At 42.7% G+C, this 27,779-nt stretch overlaps 1 protein-coding gene across 1 annotated transcript in view, besides 7 other annotated features; it reads left to right on the top strand.

The window, feature by feature from the left end:
- MB21D2 (Mab-21 domain containing 2) overlaps positions 1-27,779 on the top strand; it is a 121,042-nt gene that overhangs the window by 65,557 nt on the left and 27,706 nt on the right. The window lies entirely within an intron of this gene.
- Positions 1,138-1,187: an enhancer, noted in NCBI's record as "active region_20997". NCBI's record gives its function as "activates an Ori minimal core promoter by ATAC-STARR-seq in GM12878 lymphoblastoid cells {active_cell/tissue: GM12878}" and the evidence as "EXISTENCE:reporter gene assay evidence [ECO:0000049][PMID:35858748]".
- Positions 1,218-1,267: an enhancer, noted in NCBI's record as "active region_20996". NCBI's record gives its function as "activates an Ori minimal core promoter by ATAC-STARR-seq in GM12878 lymphoblastoid cells {active_cell/tissue: GM12878}" and the evidence as "EXISTENCE:reporter gene assay evidence [ECO:0000049][PMID:35858748]".
- Positions 11,720-11,769: an enhancer, noted in NCBI's record as "active region_20995". NCBI's record gives its function as "activates an Ori minimal core promoter by ATAC-STARR-seq in GM12878 lymphoblastoid cells {active_cell/tissue: GM12878}" and the evidence as "EXISTENCE:reporter gene assay evidence [ECO:0000049][PMID:35858748]".
- Positions 14,189-14,258: an enhancer, noted in NCBI's record as "active region_20994". NCBI's record gives its function as "activates an Ori minimal core promoter by ATAC-STARR-seq in GM12878 lymphoblastoid cells {active_cell/tissue: GM12878}" and the evidence as "EXISTENCE:reporter gene assay evidence [ECO:0000049][PMID:35858748]".
- Positions 15,019-15,068: an enhancer, noted in NCBI's record as "active region_20993". NCBI's record gives its function as "activates an Ori minimal core promoter by ATAC-STARR-seq in GM12878 lymphoblastoid cells {active_cell/tissue: GM12878}" and the evidence as "EXISTENCE:reporter gene assay evidence [ECO:0000049][PMID:35858748]".
- Positions 20,963-21,162: an enhancer, noted in NCBI's record as "active region_20992". NCBI's record gives its function as "activates an Ori minimal core promoter by ATAC-STARR-seq in GM12878 lymphoblastoid cells {active_cell/tissue: GM12878}" and the evidence as "EXISTENCE:reporter gene assay evidence [ECO:0000049][PMID:35858748]".
- Positions 27,092-27,268: a silencer, noted in NCBI's record as "fragment chr3:192542821-192542997 (GRCh37/hg19 assembly coordinates)". NCBI's record gives its function as "represses an EF-1alpha promoter that drives an FKBP-Casp9 reporter gene in an ReSE screen in K562 erythroleukemia cells {active_cell/tissue: K562}" and the evidence as "EXISTENCE:reporter gene assay evidence [ECO:0000049][PMID:32094911]".

Genomic DNA, 27,779 nt, shown 5'->3' with positions numbered 1-27,779 from the left:
TTAGCTTTTGTAGCAATTACATCGATTGAAGAGTGACCATACAAATAGGTCTGCATTTTGGAAATGGGTGCTGTGCATGCTGAGTGGTGTCTCTGAGTGTGAATCCTGGTGAAAGGATGAAGGAGGCATCTCGCCCCATATTTTCTCTCCCTGAACTGGTCTGTCTCAGTTCTGCTTTCTGATCATTTCCCCTGTTGGCAGAACCTGCCCTTGACCCTCAGCCACAGTGAGTCAGTGTACACTGGCACGACTCCAGATGCCTGGGGGATAAAACTTTGCCCAAGTTTGCCAATCATTCCTCGAAGCTGCCCAGTTGTTCTAGTCTTTGTTGATGTTTCCTAGAAAATTTTGGCTCCACATTTGTCATGGTTACTTAGTTTATTTGACAGCATGTCTTGCTTTGTGTTGGATACTTTAGAGGATACAGCAGTAAGACTTGGGCACTGTCTTGGAGTAGCTCAAAGAAGAGGAAGATAAATAATAATAACCTTTTAAAAATCGGCCAGGCATGCTGGCTTACGCCTGTGATCCCAGCACTTTGGGAGGCCGAGTCAGGGGGATCACTTGAGGTCAGGAGTTCAAGACCAGCCTGGCAAACATGGCAAAACCCTGTCTTTACTAAAAAAAAAATACAAAAATTAGCGGGATATGGCGGTGCATGCCCTTAATCCCATCTACTCTGGAGGCTGAGGCAGGAGAATCGCTTGAATCCGGGAGACGGAGGTTTCAGTGAGCCAAGATCGTGGCACTGCACTCCAGCCTGGGCAACAGAGTGAGACTCCATCTCCAAAAAAAAAAAAAAAAAAAACAGACAAAAAAAAAGTGTACAATTTAGTGGTTTTACTATATGTACAAAATTCACATTGATCACTCTCTAATTTTGGAATATTTTTATTGCCCCCAGAAGAAACCCCATACTCATTAGCAGTCACCTTCTACTCCCCACTCCCCAACAGCCCTTGGCAGACACAAATCTCCTTTCTGAATCTATGGATTTGCCTATTCTGGACATTTCATATAAATGGAATTGCATAATAGGTGGCCTTTTGTGTCTGGCTTTTTTGACTTAGCATAATGTTTTTAAGGTTATCCGTGTAACAATACTTCATTTCTTTTTATAGCTTAATTCTATTCTATGGTGTGGCTATACCTCATTTTGTTTATAGGAGCCATATCTTGAGTGTGTTCTATGTTCATTGTTCCATGAGCTTTACCTTTTAAATTCATTCGTCTTCATAATTACTTCATAGGTGCAATTACTATTGCCATATTGCCAGTAAAGAAGAAGGCATAGATAGGTAACACAGCTAACAATAAGTAGCAGAGCAAGCTTGGTTTAACTGCAGAGTCTGTGCTCTTAACCTTACTCTTCCCGCCACACACTGTGAGTCACAGGATAGAAGACATATTTAAAAATGAGTGTAAACGTGGGAGGAAGTTACAAAGGTCTTAAATGACTGTGGAGTTCAGTAGCTCAGAGTTGGGGGTGGCCTGTGGCGTGGGTGTCTGTTACAGTGTGCTGTACTTTGTCATTTGTACTGCCCTTCGGATTATGGTGCGCAGTGGATTTGAGGCATCACAGGGGATCTAGGCCGCAGGGAGACGGGACGGGGCTCCCAGTCCACTGACAGGTTTGCTCAGGGCTGATTCGGCAGCGTGCAGGGCTGAGCCTGAGGCCAAAGGTTTTCAGACGTGTATGTGTATCTGGGTGGGGCCTGGCCTGTGCAGGCAGGGACTTGATAGCAGGCACCTCTTTTCTGTGGAATGTGGAGAAGTACAAGCAAGTCTAACCATGCTGCCCGGCTCACCACACATGCGATGAATGACGGAATGAAGGAGAGATATGGTGGGTGGGTACTAGAGTTGAGAGCCTCGAACCTCAAGTTGCAGAGACCGTGCAGTGGCCTGCCTTGAGAGGTATACAGTCTGTCCACATCTCTGTTACTCTGCTGGAGCTTGCTGTCTAGATTCTACTAGGAGCTATCACCCAGGTTCTTTCCTTCAGTGTAGAGTCTGTCTCCTGGGAGATCAGAAGTCCCAGCTTAGTCTTTTCTTAGTGGAACCCCAGAAAATTGTTCTATGGGCCGGGCGCGGTGGCTCATGCCTGTAATCCTGGCACTTTGGGAGGCCGAGGCGGGTGGATCATAAGGTCAGGAGTTCAAGACCAGCCTGGCCAACATGGTGAAACCCCCTCTCTACTGAAAATGCAAAAAATTAGCCTGGTGTGGTGGCACGCGCCAGTAGTCCCAGCTACTCAGGAAGCTGAGGCAGGAGAATTGCTTGAATCCAGCAGGCAAAGGTTGCCGTGAGCCAAGATCGCACCACTGCACTCCGGCCTGGGTGACAGAGTGAGACTGTCTCGAAAAAAAAAAAAAAAGAAAATTTTTATATGACATGTTTCTGTCTCTGACAGTTTATTCACTCAGCAAACATTTATGAGGCTCTTCTGTGCCAGGAGTTGTTCTAGGTCCTTGGGACATATGAGTGAGCAATATATAATATAGAAAAGGACTTTTGCTGTCTTTATACTATTCTGCCAGGGCAAACAGAATAATAAGCAATAGACATAAATAAATATAGTTTTTTTTATTTAATAGAATAAGTGTCATGAAAAAAGGTTGAAGTAGAGCAAAGTAAAAAGGGATATAAAGTGGTTGAAATATTAAATAAAGTAAGACGGTGACAGCCGAGTGTGGTGTCTCACGCCAGTAATTCCAGCACTCTGGGAGGCCGAGGCAGGTAGATCACGAAGTCAGGAGTTCAAGACCAGCCTGACCAACATGGTGAAACCCTGTCTCTACTAAAAATACAAAAATTAGCTGGGCGTGGTGGCACATGCCTGTAATCCCAGCTACTCAGGAAGCTGAGGCAGGAGAATCGCTTGAACCCGGGAGGCGGAGGTTGCAGTGAGCCGAGATCGCGCCACTGCACGCCAGCCTGGGCAACAGAGCGAGACTCCACCCCCACCCCCCGCCCCCCCCCCAAAAAAAGAGACGTGAAAAACTTGCACTTGAAGATGGTTAACGAATTAGCCATGAGAGCTTTGGAGGAAGAGTCTCACAGTACAGAATTCGGAAGGTTCGAGTAACAGGCTGGGAGGCAAGTGTGAGCATGGGAGCACGGAGTGGTGGGAAGCCAGCTTGTCACTCCAGTGGCCAGAGGATCGTGGTTTGTCCTCATAGTGGAATGCCAGCCATTTCAGGACTGAGCAGGGGGCTGCCCCATTGAGAATCTCATAACAAAACTGAATCTGTGATATGTTAAGCACAATTAGAATAGACAGATGAGCCCAAGAAATAAAAAGTTCCTGTGGTGGGTCCAGAACTTGGGGAATTCCAGGGTTACGCTGTCAAGTTCCCAGGGGCCCTCTGAATTCATTTGTTTTCTTTTCTTCTCTTCGGTCCATCAGAACCCCAAGGGGAAGCGAGCACTTTCCATAGTGGAAGCTTAGCCATGCCTGGTTTTGCTGGATGGGTTTTTCTGCTGCTGGCTGTACATGACCAGGTCTGGGGTCTTATTTGTTCTAGGAAGATTTAGAAATTAGTACTTAATCATTTGCCTACCTTGTGTATATACTTTGAAAAGTAGAGATACATGTGTATAACACGTAGATTCTGGATGCTGGTGTATAAAACTCTGACGGGTTGGTTTACTTCATTTCACAAGGTTTTATTCACGTTAGAAATATGACCAGTAGTATACTGTTAGTCTGCGAAATAGTGGGTCTATTATACAATCCCAATTTATCTTTGTTGGGAATAGGAAATGGGTCATGCAATAGTCAGATTATCTCCCATATGAATGGGTGGCTTCTTGTGGCATGCATCTATAGTAGTACAGTTTAAAAGTACTGATGTCTTTTATTTTATCTGGCTTGATTTGGAGCCTTACCTGGGCCAGAGTTTTTTGAAGATGTCCCCAGAGTTTAAAATTTATGTTATATTTGTTGTACTCCTTTCTTCCCTCCCCATTAGAGATTTGTGGGATAGCTTTTTGGCAAAATGTCAGTGCAAATGTTTGTAGAAGTGGGTGAATGAATTAAAAAGCAGAGTAGGCATTTAACTGGCAGGCTGAAAGAAAAATGTCAGTTTCCGTGGGTTAAGCAGGATCTTTGCAGCATATTTAGCACTTGACTTCTTCCAGATTTGCCTACATGAAGTAACCTCTCTGTTTTCACACATGAAATATTTAAATAACTTTAAAATATGTGTGTAATGCCGGGTATGTGACCAGATGGAAGAACACTTCTTGGCCGAAAATGTAAACAAGCTGCCACCAATGTTAATGTTACAGCTGTAGACATAAATGTATTTTGGTTGGTTTCATTTTATTTTTGAGCATGTACAGTTCATCAAAGTTAAGCCCAAATTGAATTCTGTTTGAATGTTTTTTTGATGGTCCTTCATATTTATATTGATTTTTAACCTGTCCTTCTCATCTAGGATATTTTTACCCCATGTAAAATGGATGCAACTGTTTGTTTTTCAGATCATGTCCAAATAATCATTTTTGTCTCTAGTTCCCCAGGGAAGAGTGTTATGCAGACAGTTTTAGGATGTTTTAGCCAGTTAATAAAGTAAGTTGTCAGGTAGGCCGAGGAGTTACTGAGTTTGTAGTGTCTGGACAACTGATCTGCTGCTGTGTTGAATTGGGAATTGTTGTTTGTCCTGCAAGAACTTTGATTTTGGAGCATTATGGTGAAGGGTGTTTCATTGTTGTGACTGTAGAACAAAGGAAGTTAAAGCATCTACTGTGTGTCACCGGCCATCTCATTTAATCCTCATGTTTCATGTGAGTTGATCATATTTTACAATGAGGAAAATTCGCCTTTTGAGAGACACCATTTCCAAGACCCCTAACTGCTAGTTCGTGGCACAGCTCAAGTAAGGACCCCGTTTCAACCTGCTGAAGAGCCCATTCTCTTTCCACTGTCTCTGGTTGTTTTTAGGGAGGGAATAAGGTGATATTTGTCAAGCATGTCCCAAATGATTGGGTGTGACAGATTTAGTGTTTCTTAATCTCTAGATAATTAAATGGAGAAACTATGCCTTTACATGTTTATGAATTCATTTTCAACATTTAATCAGCAAAGTAATGTTGGGTCTCTGAGACCCAATCATCTGAATCTTGTTTGACAAATAATCGTGTGAGTGTCTGGGGGATTAATGAAGGCTTAGATTCCTTACAGCTCCCTTGACCTGGAGACCATGAAGTCTCAGGGATGACTCTTTCCAAGGTATTCCAGAGCCTCTGCTTCCCTATGGTGATGAGTCTTCCCCCAACTGGGCTCTAATTGCTGCCTGTAGATAAAGGAGTCCAGGGAACCCTCAAATCAGACCACTTGGGAGATTTTAAATTAATTGGCATTTAATCAAGATGTTTGCAGGGATGAAGGTGCCCATGCGTGCAGCTGCCATTGTTTGTGCTTACACCTCACATCTTGAAACAGGTATAAGAGAAAAGTGAAAATGAGAAGCCCCAAGAAAACCACAGACTCCAGGTTTATGGTATGAGGAGCAAGAATGATAAAGGTGGTCCTTGGCTTTGTTTATTCTAGGGAGTGTGCTTCTCAGTAGTGCACGTTTGGAATATGGCTTGGTCAAATGATGGCTGTTTCTCTGATTCTAAATGAAACAGCATGGATTTCTTGTTCAGGGAATTTTTGGTATGTTTCAGAAAGAGATTTTTCTGAGATCCCAAATCTCCAAGTTCCATAAGAGGTGATGCTATGAGTGGGTTAGGAGTTGGAACTGTGTTGTTAGTGACCCTGTGGGGTGGATTTGTTTATGTACATGTGAACACATTGAGCCAAGGGTGTGGTTTGTGGCATTGGGGCAGGGGAGCAAGGAAGAATGGTAGAGCAGGTAATTATATATAAAAACAAAATAAAACAAAATACCAAAACTTTGTTATGAAGATTCATTGAAATAATATATATGAACTGCTCCAAGCCTGGCCTATAGTAAGCACTCTCTAAATACTGTTTTTAATGTTATTACTCTTGTTTTTATTACTGTTATTTTATGTATCTCAGATGTGCATGGAAGAAAGGCTTATATGGATTAATAAGATACACTATGTAAGTTTTATAACATTTAACTAAAAGATCAGATAATGACTGTGATTAGAGTCTAAACCAGACAGAAGATTGGACATTTAATCAGAATGTTTCAGTGACTTGGCTAAAGGCATTAATTTTATTTTATTTTATTTCATATATATAGTTTTGAGACAGGGTCTCAGGCTGGAGTACAGTGGCATGATCATGGTTCACTGCATCCTTAACCTCCAGGGGCTCAAGTGATTCTCCCACCTCAGCCTCCCAAGCAGCTGGGACTACAGGTGTGTGCCACTAATGCCCAGTTAAGTTATTTTTTATTTTTTGTAGAGACAGGGTCTCACTGTATTGCCCAGGCTGATCTCGAACTCCTGGCCTCAAGCAATCCCCCTACCTCAGTCTCCCAAAGTGCAGGGACTATAGGCATGAGCCACCGCGCCTGGCCCCCAGCCACTGGCCCCTGGCCTCTGGCATTATTTTAGAGCATAAAATAATGTGGACTCCTGTGTACCACTCTTTCTGAGCCTCTGGTGGAGGGAAATGAAGTAGATCAGAGTGATATTTGACATTTCAGTCTCTGTTGCCCTTTCCTTAAGGCCCTTCTGAGCACTGTGGTGAAGGCAGAGATTATCAACCCGTTAGGGTGTGGAACATTCAGAGCTGAGGCGAGAATTATGGGCTAAGGAGCAGAGCTGGAGGATTTGCTCACCTTTGTGACTCTTCGGTCTTGTGATGGGAATTTAAAATTGGAGCATAGGAGCATAGATGAGGATGCTCAGCAAGTCAGGGAGTGGAGAGGAAACACTTCTTCATGGGAATTGTGATTCATAGCTGCAAAACGTTCTCTACCACAAAGCTCACCCTTGGCTCTACAGTGAAATGAGAACCTTTGGGGATGCGAAAGGCAGTTGCCTGACTTAGGAATGGTACATTGTCCTTCCTGTGACATGTAACTGATGAAAGCGGTCGGAGTTTACTTTTACCCTGGCTCTTAATTATAAAGGGAAAGAAAACCTTACTCAGTAATTTATGTCATTTGAGGAACATGTGCCAGTCACCCTATAATCCTTCTGTTACTTTTCTGTAGGTTTCTTCATCATTTAGTCTGCAACTTCCGAGTTTCCCAAGGAAGTGAGACAATGAATACATGTTTCTTTTACTTTTGAATCAAATGTACTTAGCAGCCAAATCTATAGTGAGTAGAGAATCACTCTTGTTTAAGTGGCTGTTAATCACCAGTTGTAAAAGTTCCAAGTGGGAACGAAAGGGGCAGAGCTTTAATCATGTTGGCCTTCCTTGGGAGGAAAAAAGAGAAAGAGGCTGCCAACCGCCTGGCCGAGAGATGGGAGGCTTGGAAACAGACTTTCTCCTACACATCAAAGGGGGGCTCTTGGCTTATTCAGGTTTCTCTTTTTCAGGCAAAATACGGTTGTATGTGAATGGTGTCCTTGTGAAGGAACAGGCTGGAATCAGGCCCTAAGAGTTAATGTGAAGAAGGGGTCAGGTTGATGGGAAAGGGTGTTGAAGCATTTCCTCTCGCCCTGGAGCCTCCAGCCCATCAGAATTGGGGAGCTCTGTTTGAGAGGTGTCCCAGGGCTCCATCTAATCTCCTTCAAGAGCTTGTGCTGGCCCCATCTGCCAGAGGGGAGAGATATCAGGAGACATGTGCTTGTACACAGAAGTGGATGGGTGGTCTTTGGATTACGTTTTAAGCTTTTGCATCTGCTCATTTACTTATAAGTTGGTGAAAGGAAGGGACAGGGGAAGCTAAAGAGCACAGCAGTGGGGAGAGGCAACTAGAGATTGGCAGAGGTTTTGGGAAGAGATACTTCTGCCTCTGAAACAACCACATGAGTGGGAGCATCCATCTCATGACAGGGTGATGAAGATAGGGACATTTAATTCACATGAGCACCAACTAACATTCAGGGCAGCCAAAGCTGTCTACACTCCTTGCCTCCAAAAAGTATGGAAGTAAAATAAAAATAAGCTTGAATGTTAATGGGACATTATGTGTCCAGGCTTCATCATCACAGAGGGAAGGACAACGTAAGTGAGAGTGCCTGGCTGCATTAGATGCCCCGTGGGCTGGCGAGGCTGCGGCACCCGGGGATTCAGGTGGATCAGGATAGGTTTCTAGCTAAGAGAGGCAGAACTAGAAAGAAAAAAGTTGAGCAGAAATCAAAACCTGGACAGAAATAGCACATTTCATAATCGGCAGATGAAGTAAGCATGGTAGGAGAGGAGGAGTGGGAGTTCCGGGGCTGGGAGGACAGGTGCTCTGGCCCAAGTCTGGTAGTGTGGGACTCATATACAAACGGAGCATACGTTTCAAGAGGCTCCTTGTCTGATCGTGCATGGAGGGTTGCCATGGCTGCTTATGAGGCTGGGCTGGGGGCTGTGTAGGTACTTCTCTCTTGCAGTCTTTTTGACAGGTTGGCAAAGAAGAGGATATTTATTTCTATTTTATAATTTGGGTAAACAGGCCTCCAGGAAGTGAAATAACCTGCAGGTTACATGGCTAAGTGGTAAAGCCAGAAAGTGAATATAGGTTTTCTGTTACAATTTTTAGGGCGGAGAGGGACTCTCTCTTCCCTGACCCAGCTGTCTTGCTATTTATATGTACATACTGTATACAGACGTCACTGTTTCCCAAGTAGAGATATGTTTATATTTCTGTGAATTTATCATGTCCAACTTTCATGAGCAAATGTCCCTACCTCTATTGCTTTTTAATCTAAAAGGACGCTTGCTGAGCATCTCTGTGGTCCCAGCACAGTATGATGTTAGCAGGACTGGCCTCTACGCTGTGATGACAGTCTCCTTGTCTGATCATAGCAAGCAGAGAAGCATAGCTTACTCAAGCTGGGTTCTTAGCACTTGTTCCTCATAAGAAAGCTGATGAGCATTCCACTCTGACATGTCAAAGACAGAAAGGAGCTTTCTTTCAGCACTTGTCTTTTGTAGTTCCACTGACAGGACTAACTTAGTGACAGAGGATCCTTTAGCAAGCTCCCAATGTGGGTGATTGAGCCTCTCCCTGTCCAGGGTTGAATCATGTTATTCCCTTAGTAAATCTGGATGCTAGCCCTCATGTAATCTTCAGGCTCTGTGACCTGAGCTAGTAGCTTTAACTTTCTCAGCCTCAATTTTCCTAACTACAAAATGAGTGTAGGCTAAAAGACCTCCCATGCATTCTAAGCTAGCTGGGCACTAACCTTGTGTATCTGGGAAGGAAAGGCCACATGTGCTCTTTTCACCCCAAGGGCATGATAACTTCTTTACCTCCAGTCTCTTAAGACTTCTGTTAGTCAAAGACACAGTCTGCCAAAGGCTAGGGTCCTTTTGTCAGTTTTCCTGCCATAATTTCCACAAGAATGGCCCTAACTGCACTTAACATGCACAGTGGATGTGACAACCTTGGAGTAATTGGACCGTGTCCACTTCCCAAAGAACCAAAAAATCCCTGGATCTGAATGTTCCTTGAATCTCCATTGATGATTTTTCTTTTGTTACATAGGATGACTTGATGAGATTGATAATACTAATATTGTTCTTCAGGCCTTTCCTCCTCAGACCTGTCAGTGTTATAAAGGATTATTTTTTGAATTTTCTCTGTATTACTTCCATGTGTTCTCTTTTATTATCATTATTATTAGTTGGCTTCATTTTATTAAAGATAGTGTAATTTGGAGTCAGTTCTTGTGGCCGAGTTGATTTAAGAGGAAACGAAGCTTACATAGTTACTATAATTTTGTGTCTATAACGTCTACAATATTTATGGCATTAATTTTGTGGTGCAATGCATTGTATACCAGAACAGCATGTTATATGCATGAATGGTGGTGCTTTGACTGAAAAATGTGTCCTGTGGTAGCTTTGTCCTCAGGCACAGAACTAAATATGCACACATATTCAATGACCAAGTGAGTGGTTAGAAACCTCTGGCTCTGACGGGCAGCCGTGGGAGGCCAGTGTTCAACGTGGTAGACCATGTTCCTGCCGTACTTCCCATTCATCTCTTCAATCCATTCCTACTTCAGCTGTGCCCCAGTTCAGCTCTTTATTTCCCCCACAGGGTCGTTACAGAAGGCTCCTGGTTGACCTCTCTGCCTCTGGTTTTACAACAGCTATTTCATCTTTTATATGCCCCCCGAGTGGCGCCCTCCTAGCTACTTCCCAGTCATCTCCTTGCTCAAGCACCCTGCTTGTGCTCCATTGCCTGTATAAAGCGTAGACACTCTGGCCTGCCATCCCTGGCTCTTGACCCACTGCCCACGGAGCTTTTCTGAAACCCTCTCACCCCTCTGCCTGGTTCACTTCTACTCATGTCTACAGCATATTACACTCTACCACTTCTTACAAACTCATCCTTCCTTCAAAACATGTTCCTTTGACAAAGAACCCCTAACCTTTAGGGATTTCTTGCTCTTCCAAACCCTAGCAACTCCTAGCGAAGCCTAATGTATTATTAGTTACCTATTGCTGTGTAACAGATTACTCCACACTGTAAAACAACAAATACATATTATCTCCCATAGTTTCCGAGGGTCAGGAATCTGGGAGTGGCTTAGCAGGTGGCTCTGGCTCAGAGTTGCTCATAAGGTTGTGTTCAAGCTATCGGCCAGAGCCGCAGCCTTTGGAACACTTGACTGGGCTGGAGTATCCACTTCCAAGCTCGCCTGTGAGGCTCTTGGCAGGAGATCTCACTTCTTCTTCACTTTGTCCTCCCCATAGCGCTACTCAACATCATGTCAGATGGCTTTTCTAAAGTGAGTGATGAGAGAAAGACAGACAGACAAAAGACTAAGATTGAAGCTGCAATGCCTTTTATAACCCAATCTTGGATGTAAAAACCATCACGCTTATTTGTTACACTGACTGCTACCTTTGATACAAGGTGAGAGGTGACTACTTAAGGGTGTGAATACCCGAAGGTGGGGTTGTTAGGGGCCACCTGGCAGGCTGGCTGCTACACCTGCCTTATATTGTTTTAGCATGCATGTGTTCTGTTTTGCCAGCTAGCCTGGCACTGTTTAAGTTTGCAGGCTGGTCTCATTGACTGTGTGGTTCCCTTACTTCATCCAAAGTGCTTTTCATGTAGATAATTATTTTGTTTTCAAAATAATGTGTTGCCCTCTCCTCCTTTTTTAAGAGATAGAGGTAACTGGTGCCTGGAAGGATTGGTTATCTAAGTCAGTCAACTACTATGTGACAGAACATGTGAATTCACTCCTAGGTCTTTAAATCTAAAACCCATGTTCTGTCCACTATACAAATGGTATGCTGATTTTGCTTTCTATAAAATATTTTCCACAACCTGCCTCTTGTCTATAAGCTTTGGTGTTAATTAAAAGGAACAACTTGGAAGCTCCCAATGATTGCAGGGAAGTATTTGTGTGTAACAATCTTCAGGCGGGAAAAGTTTCCAAGAAGTTGTCTTAACCAACTAAAACCTCATCTTCCTGGTCTTCATCTGTTCAGCAGTTGCCTATCCAAAGCCTCTGATTTATCTGACTGTTCTACTGATCAAGGGAGCTTAAGAGGCCCATATGAATACCATGTTTTAGCAGTTTTTTTCTCATTAAGTCATCTGGGGAGATTCAGCTGGTCACCTCCCACCACGAGAAACTTTCTACCATAGCGCCTCACTCATCTGTTTCTAACAAGTGATGCTCTTGCGAACAGTCTCTGAGTTTTCTAGGCTTAGAGGGATTGCGCTGGAAACTAAATTGGGAACTCTCCCAATAACGCTCTCTGGATACCACGACTTAGCTTCAGAGGGAGGTTCTAGGAAAAGCAAAAAAAAAAAAAAAAAAAAAAAAAGAAAAAAGAGAAAAAAGTCTTTGTCATACTCCCAAGCACAAAGTTACGGTGGTTGAATTCAATAAAGGAGCTTTGATTTTCTTTTTCATTTTGAACAAAATACTGGTCCTTTTGGTTGACTTTGAAAATGTGTAATATGTATGTTTCTAATTTCAGTTATTTGCCCTTTTCTGCAGAAAGGGGAACACTGCAGGTGGCTTTCTGAAACTTGAACGCCTCGAATTTTTGTGTTCCCTCTCATGATCATCTTTTATATCTGCAGGGGACATTAGACTTATAATGATCTTTAGATTTTTGGCTTATTGGCTAAAGATATCTCTTTTTGAAACATTTTTATTGAAGTATGTCTTCTACCCACCAATGGTTGGAGGAATTTTAAATATTGTTTTCCAATCTCTTTTCTTATCTCTGCATAGGGATGCTTTTTATTTTTTACCTGCAGTGGCTGTGGGGTGGTTTCATGTTACATGCTTCTCCACAGTGAGTTTCCCTAAAACGGAATTTTTTGAATCTCTTTAAAAAGTCTGAACATACTGGGAAAAGATGAGAAAGGGATTTGAAAAAGAATTGAGAATGAACTTTCTCAAATACTTTTATGCTCCTAGGTGGTTAGAAGGTTGTTTTCTGTATAGATTGACATATAGATTGACATTTTCTTTAGCGGCTATACTCTGAATCAAATTCCTTCCTCTGGAGCTCTGGGAAAGCTCCCATTCTGATGACAGTAGAATTCTGTCTTGCTAGTTTGTTTTTACATATATCTAGATCTAGACTTAGGTAAATAATATACACACACACAGACACATATATGTATATGTAGACATACCTGCAAATACAAAATATTTCCAGAAACTTCTATATTTATGTGCTATTTCTTCTTACTGTCACCTTCAATGTAAATGGACATTTAAACATTTAGGGAGCAATTAAGTCTTCAAGATGAGTTGCTTGATGAAGTAACATTTGGGCACTTGTTTAAGTACATTTTACAGGGCCCATCCAGTTCTAATTGCCAGGAACACCACAGGTAGGACAGGTTTAGCAGAAAGAAAACATAGTTTGGAGCAGGAAGAAGAGTGCCCCAGAGAGAAACAGAAGGCTGTTTTGCTCCTAGAAGGAAGGTACGTAAATCCAGAGTGGGTACATGCAAAAGGAATTAAGGTGACCTGTTTGTATTGACCTCTTCACCTTCTGATATGTATATATTTTTGCTTATAAGCATGCTAGTAATTGTAATTGTTAATATTTATAGCACTCAGCTATTTTTTCCAGCAGTCATGTACTTTATCTTCTTTAGCCCTCACAAAATCCTTGCCTCCCAATCCACCCCCTCACCATCATGAAGTCATAAGTAATTTTCATTTTGTAAAAGAAAAAGGTCGTAACTTAGTGGCTAAGTGGTGTACATAGCTAAAAGTGGGAAAGTAGGGTCTCAAACCCAGGCTTTTTTGACTTGTAACTCAGTACACTATGTGCCTCTGCTCCTAACCTAAATGGGCATTCACTAGTTTGACTTCAAAAAAGGCATATAATACAGTGGATACTTGGGTTCTCTCTTCTATCCCTGCTCCAAGATTCCATGAGGGCAGAGTCAAAATCATGTATGTATTTTTGTATCTCTAATTTCTACTTCATTCTTGGCATGACAGAAACATTGGAAAGTATGCTGGTTTAAAATATGTCCACAAGGCCAGGCGTGGTGGCTCACACCTGTAATCCCAGCACTTTGGGAGGCCGAGGTGGGCAGATCACGAGGTCAGGAAATTGAGACCATCCTGGCTGGCACGGTGAAACCCCATCTCTATTAAAAATACAAAAAAGTAGCTGGGTGTGGCGGTGGGCGCCTGTAGTCCCAGCCACTCGGGAGGCCGAGGCAGGAGAATGGTGTGAACCCGGGAGGCGGAGTTTGCAGTGAGCCGAGATCGCGCCACTGCACTCCAGCCTGGGTGACAGAGCGAGACTCCATCTCAAAAAAAAAAAAAAAAAAGTCCACAGATTATTTAATACTCACTTCAAAGAGCCCATTTTTCTCTTGAAGGTGGGTTGGGCCTAGTGACTTGCTTCTAATGCATGGACAAAAGTGGAAGTGATAGTGTGCAACTTTATAGACTAGTCATTAAAGGCACTGTGGTTTCCTCCTTGCTCTCTCTTGGATCACTTCCTGTAGGGGAAATTAGCTGCTATCATGAGCACACTTAAGATGTCTTATATAGATGCCCATGTGTTAAAGAACCAAGGCCTTCTTCCAGCAGTCAGTGAAGAACTGAGGCCTCTGGTCAATGACTTGGAAACAGATTTTCAGCCCCAATCAAGCCTTCAAATGGCTGCAGCTCCAGCCACGAGTGATGTTGCCGCAGCTTCATGAGAGAGCCTGTGCAGGAGATATGCAGCTCTGCTGCTCCTCGTTTCTCAACTTACAGAAACTAAAAGATAGGAAGTGTTTATTTTTATAAATCCCTAAGTTTGGGGGTGTTCTGTCATGTAATAATAGAAAACTAATGTAGAAATAGATGGGCGGTACCTCCAGGTTTCTGATGTTTCTGATACTGACTTGATATGAACTGTGATTTGTTGGCACTGGCTACTTCTCAGTTGTTTTCTTTCAACTATAATATGTGTGTGTGTTTCTCAAATTAGACAATCACCTGGGGATCATTTAAAAATACAGAATCTAAAGCCGGAGACTCATGATATGGAATGTCCTAGGATGGCGTTTTGGAATCTATATTTTTTGCAAAACCTTTTGAGATGATTCAGATGCAGACGGCCCAGACTCATTCAGGGATTGTCATTTGGAAACCAGTGAGCGAGAGCCCTTTCCTTGATTCAGGTCTGACAATCAAGGTTTGCTACAGGATTCCTCCATTCGGTTCTCTCCCAGGAGCTCATCTTAATGCCTCTGTGCCGAGGGGCCTCGGAATGATGAACTATTGCAGATCCGCAGCTCGTTCTCCCCTTGAGCTGCGTCTTGTGCTTGGTGGGAAGCCCAGGTGGGACAGGGGTGGAGGATGGCCTGTTCAGGCCTTGAGTGTGACCAGGAGCCGAGACGGAGACATGTTCCAGTGCTGTGGCTGAGACTGATGTGTGCTTTTACTCTTAACAATAGGCATGTTTATGTGGGAATGTCTCTCCATGTTTACAAACTTCAGAAGGCCCCTTTGGGAAAGAAAACCTCTCAGAGAAGAGTAAGTAGCAATGGAGAGCTCTCTCGGGAGGAAACGTGTGGGCTTTCTAGGGTGAAACAAGAACTGCTAATACTTACTCTGGTCAACAGATGCTGACATAGTTCTGGACTCAAACAGGGCATATTTTAAACATGTATTTTTTAGTTCTTCAATGTCATAATCCTGATGTAAAATGGGTTCTTCAAGCATTATGGCCATACCCTGGGTATGGTCTTTGATGTATGCCGTTTGGATGTCTATGCCAAGTGTTTTGGTGTTTTGTATCATCTGCATTTTTTAAGAAGAAAAAAGTACAGATGTCTGAGGTACGTGTTTCTTCCCATGAGCCCTGTTGGAGTACCTCTTCTGACACTAAGTAACTGTGTGACCTTGGGAAAATTAGCTACCAGCATTAAGATGAAAGTCTTTTCTTTAGAGCAAGGAGAAACCTAGGCAGGATGATTGATCCATGTAAACAGTTAAATCTGTTCAGTGTTGTATTAGCTTGCTAAGTCTGCCGTAGCAAAATACCACAGACAGGGTAGCTTAAACAGCAGAAATTTGTTTTCTCACAGTTCTGGAGGCTGGAAGTCTAAGTTCAAGGTGTCAGTAGGTGTGGTTTCTCCTGAGGCCCCTCTCCGTGGCTTGCAGACGGCCGCCTGCTTGCTGTGTCCTCACATGGCCGCCTTCTGTGTTTGTGCACCCTTGTGCATCCAGATATCTCTTCTTATAAGACTACCAGTCAGATTGAATTAGGACTCCCTCTAACAGCCTCATTTTAATTTAATCACTTCTTTAAAGGCTGTATTTCCAAATACAATAATATTCTGAGGTTACTGGGAGTTAGGGCTTCAACATAAGAATTTGTGAGTCCACAACTTAGCCCATAACAAGCACCCAGGCTGCTTTTGTGTGTTAGAGGTCTGGGTGACGCAATGGCTTGGGGTGGGTGCCAGACACCCTTGGGTTTCCGTAGCAAAAGTAAAATAGAGTGAACTCCCTAAAGACATTTGGTCCATTTTCTGCTTTTTCAGAAACATGCTCTGAGATTATCTCTGTTAGGGAGTCACAGAATGCTACCTTCAAGGAATGCCCTCTATTTAATATTAAAGGAAGCTGAGGTCCAGGGAGGGATACAGCTATGTCTATAATTAGATCTCTTGATTTATAACCCAGTTCCATCCACTCAGAAACAAACCAGAGCATATAACCATACTCTCTGACCTCACTATTGCCTCACTCCAACACCTCAGAGACACCCAGCTTAGAAGTGGTGGGACTTTTTTTCATCTCCAGAGAGGGAGGATATGATGGTGCTTCACTGGGAATGTGCTAAGAACATTCTGAAAATAGTGACATCCTGTAATCAAAAGCTTTTTGTCTGAGGGAAGGCCTTTTTTTTTTTTTTCCCCCAATCTTTCTTCTTCTTGATCTTCCAAAGGAGGTCAGGTTTTTCACCATGAATTCTAGGATCAAGGCTAGTAAATCTGTAAGTTGGCAGAGTTTTGTTATATTTAAGCAAAGGTAGAACAGAGACAATAGTAGAAGTGATTCATCTAAATTTTTTAGTTTAATTCCAGAGTTAAGACTGAAAATGATTCTTGATGTCTTAATAAATAGTTTTAGACCAACAGACGGTTAAAATGTTTTAAGAAATTAGATCAAATTGTCATCATTTTTTTCTGGAATCTATAAGTGATTTGGGAATCAGGGCCTAGCATTTTTCTGGATTAAGTGGAATAAAATTTGCAAATGTGCTTGTATGTTTTTAAGACTTTTTTTTTTTTTTTTTTTTTGAGACAGAGTCTCGCTGTGTCGCCCAGGCTGGAGTGCAGTGGTGCGATTTCAGCTCACTGCAAGCTCCACCTCCCAGGTTCACGCCATTCTCTTGCCTCAACCTCCCGAGTAGCTGGGACTACAGGTGCCCGCCACCACACCCAGCTAATTTTTTTGTATTTTTTTGTAGAGACGGTGTTTCACCGTGCTAGCCAGGATGGTCTTGATCTCCTGACCTCGTGAGCTGCCCGCCTCAGCCTCCCAAAGTGCTGGGATTACAGGCTTAAGCCACCGCACCCAGCTTTTTTTTTTTTTTTTTTTTAAAGACACTTTCTAAAGATCCCTGGCCAAATAAAATGTGAACAATCGGCCAGGCGTGGTGGCTCACGCCTGTCATCCCAGCACTTTGGGAGGCTGATGTGAGCTGATCACGAGGTCAAGAGATTGAGACCATCCTGGCCAACATGGTGAAACCCTGTCTCTACTAAAAATACAAAAATTAGCTGGGCATGGTGGCATGCGCCTGTAGTCCCAGCTACTCGGGAGGCTGAGGCAGGAGAATCGCTTGAACCAGGGAGGCAGAGGTTGCAGTGAGCTGAGATCGTGCCACTGCACTCCAGCCTGCGTCAGAGCAAGACTCTGTCTCAAAAAAAAAAAAAAAAAAAAGAACAATCCTCTCAAACATCTGTACCTGTGGTAGAAAGTAATTGTCTGCGCAATTCAAGGAACATTTCAGTCTATCCCAGAAAGAAATTCTGCCAGCATTGCATTTGTGTTCCCAGTTTGTCTTGCTCTCACGGTAGAACAGCTGGCACTTCTTTGTGGTGTTTGGTTTCCTTGTTTTTGTTCCTTGGCTGAGATGTGAAGGACTTGGGAGGGGCTAAGAAACCTCAGGAAGGTCGGAAAAGTAGTGGCAGAAGACACAAAAAGGAGTGGCCCCACAGGAGAAACAGCATGTGCAAAGAGGAGGCATGATAGAAAAGCAGTGGAATGGGGATGAGAAAATCTGGATTTTTGTCTTTTTTCTTTCTTCTTCTTTTTTTTTTTTTTTTTTGATATAACTGGGGAAAATTACTTCCTCAGTCCTCATGTCCTTATTTGCATCATAACTGGATTTGGGTTTTTTTGTTTGTTTTGTTTTGTTTGGTTTTTTTTTTTTGAGATGCAGTCTCGCTTTGTCGTCTGGGCTGGAGTGCAATGGCATGATCTTGGCTCACTGCAACTTCCACTTCCTGGGTTCAAGCGATTCTCCTACATCAGCCTCCTGAGTAGCTGGGACTATAGGTGTGAGCCACCATGCCCGGCCTCATAACTGGATTTGAGTCAGAGAATCTGAGGGACCTCAGTGTTGCTGAACTCGATTCATTCATTCACACAAATTGGCAGAGTACCTGCCATGTACCATGTACCTGCAGTGTGATTGGTCCTGCAATTCAAAGATGAATGAACTGAGATCGTTGACCTCAAGCTGCTTGGTTCAGTAGCAGAGACAGACATATGAGACAACCATTTGTGATGCCATATTGTGAGTGTCATGGGAATACAGGGGAGGATGGGATTAGCCTTGATGGAAAGAGAGGGAAGTCTGCAGGACTCAACAGAGGAAAAGACCTTTCCCTAGAAGGAGAAGAGGGTGAAGTTAGCCTGGGCAGCCAGGCTGGTAGGAGAAGAATCATAGAGATTGAAAAACTTCATTGCAACAACAGCGAGTAACACTATCCCACGCTCTAAAGTATTGACAACTTAGTCATGTCCTTTTGAGACACTACGTGCACCCAGAGTTCTAGGGTTGTTCTGAAGGTTGATTATGGAAACCCTTGCCCCACGTCTCCTTGCTCTGTAAGGCTGGAAAAGCATAGAATCTATTTTTGTGCTCTGACTTCGTAGCCCATCTGTCAGAAAATGCCCTTTTCACAGCAGGGTCCTAGTGACTTAATTATTGTTTGTGGAATATTTAGAAGTTTAGGTCAAGGATGAATTTCTGTTGCGAAACTGAAGGCACACAAATGAGATGTTTAAAAATGAAGTGGAAGTTTTTTGTTTTTGTTTTGTTTTTGCAGAAAAAAGATTTTTAATGGCTTGAATGTGCTGCCATAGTTGCGTCAGATTGTCAGAAAATTATGTTGTACATCTGAGAGAGAAAAGAAGAGCCTTTTGAGGAGCTGCGCTAAAATTATTTTTTGTTTAGTCTCTTAACTCTTTGGCTTGAATGAGTCATTGACTTTCCTTGCCAAGATAGGGTTAGCATTTGTTTTGTGTTTTAAAAGCAGGCCAAGGGATTGCCACGAGGGGAGACAACCTGAGCAACTGAAGGAAGAATTGCTAGAAATTGTGTTACAGTTGTTTAGTCTGAATGTGATTAGAAACAACAACAAAAATGACCTAACATTATTGACTTCAAAATTTGTTTTCTGCTTTCTTCCAAAAAAAAAAAGGTCTAAAGGAAAAAGATTTTACTATAATGTGTCCATTAAAATACAGGGCAAAGCTAACATCTCACAGGAAATGTTTTATTTGACATAGGTAGATAGCTATTGTTTGAGGGCATAAATTTTAGATAAAAGATTCCTGGCAGTCTATGCAAAAAAGGAAAATATGGTTGCCTAGCAACTTTTATTGATTGATTTAAAAGAGACAGGTCTGTCAGTAGATGTACTCTTCCCCCCGGTCCCCTTTTTCTTTTCCAGGCAGAGTTTCATTCTGTTGCCCAGGCTGGAGTGCAGTGGCTCGATCTCTCGGCTCACTGCAACCTCCGCCTCCCGGGTCCAAGTGATTCTCCTGCCCCAGCCTCCCGAGTAGCTGGGACTACAGGCACACGCCACCACGTCCAGCTAATTTTTGTATTTTTAGTAGCGATGGGGTTTCACCATGTTGGCCAGGCTGGTCTCAATCTCTTGACCTCGTGATCCGCCCGCCTCAGCCTCTCAAGGTGCTGGGATTACAGGCGTGACCCACCGCACCTGGCGAGACATACTCTTTCATATCCTTATTATGCAGATTTTTAAATATTATAAACATTGAATAGTGTAATTTGCCATCACTTAAGTAAGTTTTCCAGCTGATGATAAACTTTACTTGGTAAGACAAGTTTTTTGCATTGGCCTTCAGTAAAATCTTTCACTTAGTTGAAAGCATTTTTATATGGGGAGGAGATGTAACTAAGGCAATCTAGGTTTGTGATTTTCTATTACAGTTTGATCCAAGAAAAAATATCAGTAAGTGTGTCAATATTATCTTGTTTAGATCAGTGTTTTGAAACTTGTGTGTTCGTAAGAACTGCCTGGGGCCCTTGTTAAAATACAGATTCCAATGCCAGCTGCAGATTTACTGAATCAGAGTCTCTAGGCAAGGGGCCTGGGTGTGTATTTATCAAAGGCACCAAGTGATTTCTTATGCTCAAACAGGTTTAAGGAACACTGCTGTGGATGGTTCTCCTTGACTGTTTTTTTTCCTCTCAGCTGGGCTTTGTAGCAGTCATTTTGAGTATAAATTGTGATAGGAGCCTGAGGCAATAGCATTAAAAGTGAGTTGGCAAAGCCCAGCAGAGCCAGTTTAATTAGCTAGTTTGGATAACTGTAATGTCATTTCCCCTTCTCAAGCTGTGGTGCTTCAGGATGCTGCCCATCAAGTTCCTTCATCCTTCCAGTCTTTTCATCTGTTATTCCATTGATCCTTACACCATCTCTGTGTAGTGGACAGAACAAGTATAATAATTGTATTTCATTGATTTTTTTAAGATGCTCCCCTTTCTCACAATTGTACATCCCTAATAATAGTAGGCACCTTAGAATCGATTGTCTGAATTTGAATATTTTTCACTATTCTAGTGATTTGTAAAGCAACGGTGCATCTTATATCCAAAAGTGTTGAAGATTTGATGAACTGCCATGGCTCCTTTCACAGATGAGTCATCTGAGATACTAAGAAGGTGACGTGACTATGGAAAATTGCTACTAGTTGAGAAAACCCAGTCTCAGATCCATCTTTCTGTTCTTGTACTAGTTTGCTGCTGCTGAGTAAACAATTATTCCAAAACTTAGTGGCTTAAAACAACATTAAGCATTTATGATCTCACAGTTTCTTGGAGTCAGGCATCTAGGAGTGGTGTAGTTGAGTAGTTCTGGTTTGTGGTCTCTCATGAGGTTGCAGGGCTGAAATCATCTAAAATTTGACTGGGGCTAGAGTTTCCACCGGACTCACATGGCTGGGAAGTTGGTGCTGCAGTTGGGAGGCCTCGGCTCATCCCCATGTGGGCGTCTCCACAAGGTTCCTTTGAAGTGCTGCGACATAGTGACTGGCTTCCACCCAAGCATGTGATCCAAGGAACCAAGGCAAGAAAAGGTTGCAGTGTCTTTATGACCTAGCTTCAGAAGTCTCATACTATCACGTTTACCTATTTGATTTGCCACACAGACCAACCCTCATTCAGTGTTTGAGGGGACTACGCAAGGGTATGGGTATCAGGAGGATCACTGGGTGTGGGCTGTTTCCTTGAGACCACACAGCCTTTTTGACATAGTTTTGTCCTTATTAGCTTGACCATCTCATACCCATAGGTCGGTTCTTAAATTGAATACATGGAAACTCCCTGTGATTTCTGTTCCTTTCTAGCACATGTAGAACTTTAACATGCCTACAGATCCACTGGATCTTCTGTTAAAGCACAGATTCTGATTCATTAGGTCCCAAATGCAGGCTGAGATTCTTCATGCTAGCGAGCAGATGATGCCTTTGCTCCTGGGCCATGAACAACACGTTGAGTGGCAAAATGAACAGACAGGCAGGCTTCCAATAGCACTATCTCTAGGGTTGCACTGCAACCAAAACTCCTTTCTCCTTCTCAAGATGTACTTGCCTCCTCCTTTTCTTTTGCAGAGAGATAACTGGTTTGGGGAGAAGTAACCAGAGAAACAGAGGAGGCTGCCTCATGAAGTTGGTTTGCAGAAAGGGGTGTATGAAGCAGATAAGAGCCATGCATTATTAGGTAGGCAGATTACTGCAGCTGTGAGTGTGTTCATAGTGAAGGTCAGGTTTCAGACAGCAACAGCTGGGTGCTCAAAATGGTGAGGTAATTAGCTTGCAGGGGGTGGGGGTGCGGAATGGAACCTAAACAGTGCTTAAAATGAAACGTGTCAATGCATTATTCAGAGCTCAGATGTCCATCAGTGGATCCTCATCTTTTTTCTCCTCTCTCCCTTTGACACCCACACACACACACACACACACACACACACTCACACACACTCATCTTTGAAGCATTAACATACTAACAGTCAGGAAAACTCTATGTTCATAATATATTTTTTGAATAAAATGAAGAACGTAGCCTGGTGTGGTGGCTTACAACTGTAATCCTTGCTCTCTGGGAGGCCGAGGTGGGAGGATGGCTTGAGGCCTGGGCAACATAGCAAGACGCCGTCTCTAAGAAAATAAAAAGCACAAAAAATTATCTGGGTATTGTGGCATGCACCTGTAGTCCTACCTACTTGGGAGGCCAAAGCAGGAAGACCCCTTGAACCCAAGAGTTCAAGACTAGCCTGAGCAACATAGCAAGACCCTTGTCTCTACAATAAACAAATAAATTAGCTGGGCATGGTGGTGCATGCCTGTGGTCCCGGCTACACAGGAGGCTGAGGTGGGAGTATCACTTGAGCCTGGGAGGTTGAAGCTGCAGTGAGCTGTGATCGTGCCACTGCACTCCAGCTTGGGAAACAGAGCGAGATCCTGTCTCAATATTTATAGATACACCATACATACATACAAACATAAACATAAACAGAAGAATGCTCTAGACTGCACTCCAGCCTGGGAAACAGAGCGAGATCCTGTCTCAATATTTATAGATACACCATACATACATACAAACATAAACATAAACAGAAGAATGCTCTGGAAGAATGCACACATGAGGCATTGATTTGTCAAAGGAACAACAGTCATTATCTGAGGTTGCCCATTAAATGTCATCCGGTCCATACATGGCTGGTAGGAATGCAGAATGGTACAAGCATTTTTTAAAATAATGTGACACTTTACAAGAAAGTCAAACACACATCCACCCTTAAAAAATGGAACGGCGATCGCACTTCCAGGTATTCGTCTGAGAGAAATGGAATTTATTTCTACACAAAGGCCTGTACACAAATGTTTACAAAAGTTTTATTCATATTAGCAAAAACCCAGAAAACGGTGAATGGATAAATAAATTGTGTCACATCTGTACAAAAAGAAGCAAGCTATTGATGAATCAACAAAATGGGTGAACTTTAAAAGCATCATGCTAAGTGAAAGAAACTAGTTATAAAAGGCTACGTACTGTGTCATTTATATGTCATGCAGGAAACAGTAAAACTACAGGCATAAATCAGAACAGAGATTGCCTGGGGGCTGGGAAGGGGATTAACTGCAAAGGGGTGTGAGAAAACTTTTTGGGGTGATGGAAATATTCTGTCTTAATTGTGGTGGTTATACAACTTTATACCTTTGCCAAACTTACCGAACTGCATCTTTAAAAGGGGGTGAGTTTTGGCCGGGCACGTTGGCTTATGCCTGTAATCCCAGCACTTTGGAAGGCCGAGGCGGGTGGATCACGAGGTCAGGAGATTGAGATCATCCTGGCTAACACGGTGAAACCCCGTCTCTACAAAAAATACAAAAAAATTAGCCGGGTGTGATGGCGGGCGCCTGTAGTCCTAGCTACTCGGGAGGCTGAGGCAGGAGAATGGCATGAACCTGGGAGGCGCAGCCTGCAGTGAGCCGAGATTGCACCACTGCGCTCTAGCCTGGGCGACAGAGCGAGACTCCGTCTCAAAATATATATATATATATATATATATATATATATATATATATATATATATATATATATATATATATATATATATGGGGGGGGTGAGTTTTATTGTATATAAAGTATACCTTAATAAGTATGACTTAAAAAAATATATCAACCTGTCCAAATCTACCATTTTCCAAATGAGAAAACAGGCCCCAGATGAGGAAATGACTTGCTAGGTCTTGTGAGTCAGGGACACAGGCATCTTGGGCCCCACTCCTGCTGCACAGGTGTGCTGGATCCTTGGCCTCCTGTCCCATTCTAGAGCACACTCCAGGTAGGACTCAAGTGCTGATCTTCATTTCTCCATGCGTCACTGTATGTGGCTTTTTAAAACCCACACTTCACTGTGCTGCCCTTTGGGCTGTTGACCTATAATTTGGCTGGAGGGCTCCTAATTAGAAAATAAAACAAATTTGCATTCAGCCAGAATCCAAAGAACGTCGTATTAGTCCATTTTCACACTGCTGATAAAGACATACCCAAAACTGGGTAATTTATAAAGAAAAAAGAGGTTTAATGGACTCACAGTTCCACATGGCTGGGGAGGCCTCACAAACATGGCGGAAGGCAAAAGATATGTCTTATATGGCGGCAGACAAGAGAATGAGAGCCAAGCGAAAGGGGTTTCCCCAGATAAAGCCATCAGATCTCATGAGACTTATTCACTACCACGAGAACATTATGGGGGAAACCAATCCCATGATTCAATGATCTCCCACCTGATCCCTCTCACAACAGGTGGTAATGATGGGAGCTAAAATTCAAGATGAGATTTGGGTGGGGACACAGCCAAACCATATCAAACAAAAAGCTACCAGTGAACTTCTATGCACATATGTCATTCAACTTTTATGGTGGGGAGCGGGAAGCAAAACTTTCAGTTTATTCAGAAGAGTGCCTTAAAGGACACTAAGTGTAGACAGAACAGAATGTTCTAGAGATAAACACCAACATCTTGTTGCAGAAAGCATGTAAGATTTGGAATGAGCGAGACCTGGTTTTAGTTTCTGACTCTACTTTCCACCTTCATGCCCCTGAGTAGCCACTTAACTTCTCTGTCTGGGAAATAGTGACCATAATTCCTACATCACAGGGCTTCTGTGAGGTTTAAATAAGAAGCTGGGACGTAGAGTACCTCTCCAGCTTCAATAGACTTCTCTAAGTGTCAGCACTGGGCTATGTGTTCCACACACATCATCTTAAACCCTCACAATCATTGTTCCCGTCGTGGAGGTGAGCCAGCCCAGGGAACACAATCTGCCAGTGATTATACCAGCTGGGCAGACCAGTGGTCATGAGTCAATTTCAATAAACGACTGTGGATCTGAATCAAGTTCTATTTATAAGTTAATAGGTTGGGGAGCTTGGAAAGTGTGAAATTTTGCTTCTTAATTTGAGAGGAAGCTTTCTTTTATACTTTTTGCCCTTTAAGAAAGACAGGGTGCCGGGCGCAGTGGCTCACGCCTGTAATCCCAGCACTTTGGGAGGCCGAGGCGGGTGGATCACGAGGTCAGGAGATCGAGACCATCCTGGCTAACATGGTGAAACCCCGTCTCTACTAAAAAAATACAAAAAATTAGCCGGACGTGGTGGTGGGCACCTACTGTAGTCTCAGCTACTTGGGAGGCTGAGGCAGGAGAATGGTGTGAACCTGGGAGGTGGAGCTTGCAGTGAGCTGAGATTCCACCACTGCACTCCAGTCTGGGCGACAGAGCAAGACTCCATCTCAAAAAAAAAAAAAAGAAGGAAAGGGAAAACAATTGAAGCCAAAATTGGGATGCTGAGTGAGTGCCAAACTTCAGCTGAAAGGAAGCTGTCCTCCCCAATCTCATCTGCACTCAGCCTCCTCTGTGTCTAGAAAAAAGTGCTCCAACCACCCGGAGACCTTGTGCTATTTAGGGTCCAGCTAATACCAGAGATGCAGGGAGATTCTCTCTGAGGGCATTCTCTGTAATCTCAAACTTGTCTGCCTTCTGAGATTAAGAGGCCAGTTTAACACTAACTGACATGGGGTCAACTAGGTTTAGGGTTGACTTTTATTAAAACTTAATTTATTTTTCCCTTTTATAATCACAATGATATACAAGTAGGTTTTCCATCTTCACTTGAAAATAATTTCTCATTCTGTCACACAGCCAGGCTAAATTTACAAAACACCAACTAGTTTTAATAGCCCAAGACAACTGGCAAAATACCAACTGGCAAACATACTGAAGACAATAGAATTGATTCCCGTTCTCTGTGTTTAAATCCCTCCACCATTTGCTACACGTGCCTTGACTCAATTTTCCTTTCCTGACTATAGTCATCCAGTATTAAGTGGCCAGTTAAACTTACCTTCCTACAAGCCCTGTGTACCATTTTGTGTTATGGATGTTGTACTCAAAGGGCATAGTTTGGTCTGAAAGTAAGTATGCAAGGTTCTAGTATATGGAGAATATGATAAATGTTAAACCTCTGTATGGGGAGAAAAAAGCACATAGTGTTTTAAGTCCTAGAGATTCCTCTACTGCCTAGGGCAGAATTACTATCCTCGTGAATAGTGTAGGAGCCTGAGGACCAGAAAAACTGGAGTCAAGACTAGTGGTGAAAATGGGAAACTGTAGACAGTTTCCCAGCACCAGCCTGGAGCTGTTGCTGCTAGACCACACCACATTCCCCTTGTGTAGGTTATTTAATAAATTCATTTCACAACCCATAAAGCACAGTAGGAAACAATGCAATTACTGAACCATTGGAACACAGCTGCCAACATCTTGTTTATTCAGAATTGTCCAAACACTTCCATGTGGGGGCGGGACTGATGCAATTTGCTGGTTCAACAGTTGACATTGATAAATTGGAGTTTCATTTCCTCTACCTTCTGTTGGAGGTGCTAATGAGCATTGAAAGGCTGGAGAAACACAGAAGGGAGAGAAGGGAGAATCTTGCCTCATCTACATACTAAGTAATTGAGCCTGGAAGATGTAGACTTGACACCATTAGGTAATAGGTGGACACATTTGAAGTCACTAATAAGGGCCAAATGCAATTAGTGTTGTGAAAATTTTAATTATTTAAATTCCACTTGCAGATTGTGTGGGCTGGAAGCTTCATTTAATAGGAGAGAATGTTTGCTTTTCCTAATATTCTTTTATGTTTTCTGATTTTTTTCTTTTTATTTCATGGGCACTATGCCAACATTCCTTGGCTTCTGGAAAATGAGGGAATTGGACTAGATGATCTCTGAGGCCTCTTCCATACTCCATTGTTTGACTTGCTCTGGCATGAGAATTTGCCTGAAATGAACTGCATTCCCCTACGCACACATTTATCCAGGCCTCTGTTTTCCAAACCACTAATTTACTCATTCATTCAGCAAGCTTACCATGTGCCAATTACTGTGTTAGGAACTAGAAGTAAAGTAGCATGCAGGCTGCAGTGAGCCATGATAGCACCACCGCACCCCAGCCTGGGCGACAGTGAGTCCCTGTCTCCAAACAATAAAGTAGGTAAGTGGCCTGAATATCACCAGACCTCGATTCTCGAGAGCTGGCTTTCTAAATGGGGGACAGGAAAGTAGAATATATTGGGGCTATTCTTGGGTAGAGTACACGGCAGAACATGAGCACGTAGGAGGACCGCTAAGCTAGACATAATCAAGGACAGCTACTCGGGGTATGTAATGTTTTAGGCAGATCTTTTACATAAGAAGGTAAAGATTGAGAGGAAGAAGAGTTTGGATAGACTTTGTTTGGTGTACCTCTTAGGACTTTCTGCGCACCTTTTCTATATGTGGCATAGAAGAGGAAAAAAAATTTCATAAAAAACACGGTTTGCTTGACGTAGGAACATGAAGTGGAAATAAATTGGAGTGATTTTTGAAGAATGAATGGCAAAGAGTTAACACTCAAACAGGTGACGTTATAAAAAGGCTAATAATTTTAAATGAAAACCTTAAATGCATATATTTTATAATTGCCTGCTTAAATACAGGCTGTGGGCTGCATAGCTGAACTCAAGCGCCTCTTTATAAACAGCTATTTTAACGAAATTTTTAGAGTTGAAAATACTTTAAAGGTTTTTGATACTAATCATTTCACACAAGGCAATTGATGTCCAGAAACTTTATTTATTT

The sequence above is a fragment of the Homo sapiens genome, chromosome 3, assembly GCF_000001405.40.
Source record: "Homo sapiens chromosome 3, GRCh38.p14 Primary Assembly".
NCBI lineage: Eukaryota > Metazoa > Chordata > Mammalia > Primates > Hominidae > Homo > Homo sapiens.
The sequence above is the reverse complement of the archived record's forward strand: the minus strand, read 5'-3'. Positions and strand labels throughout refer to the sequence as shown.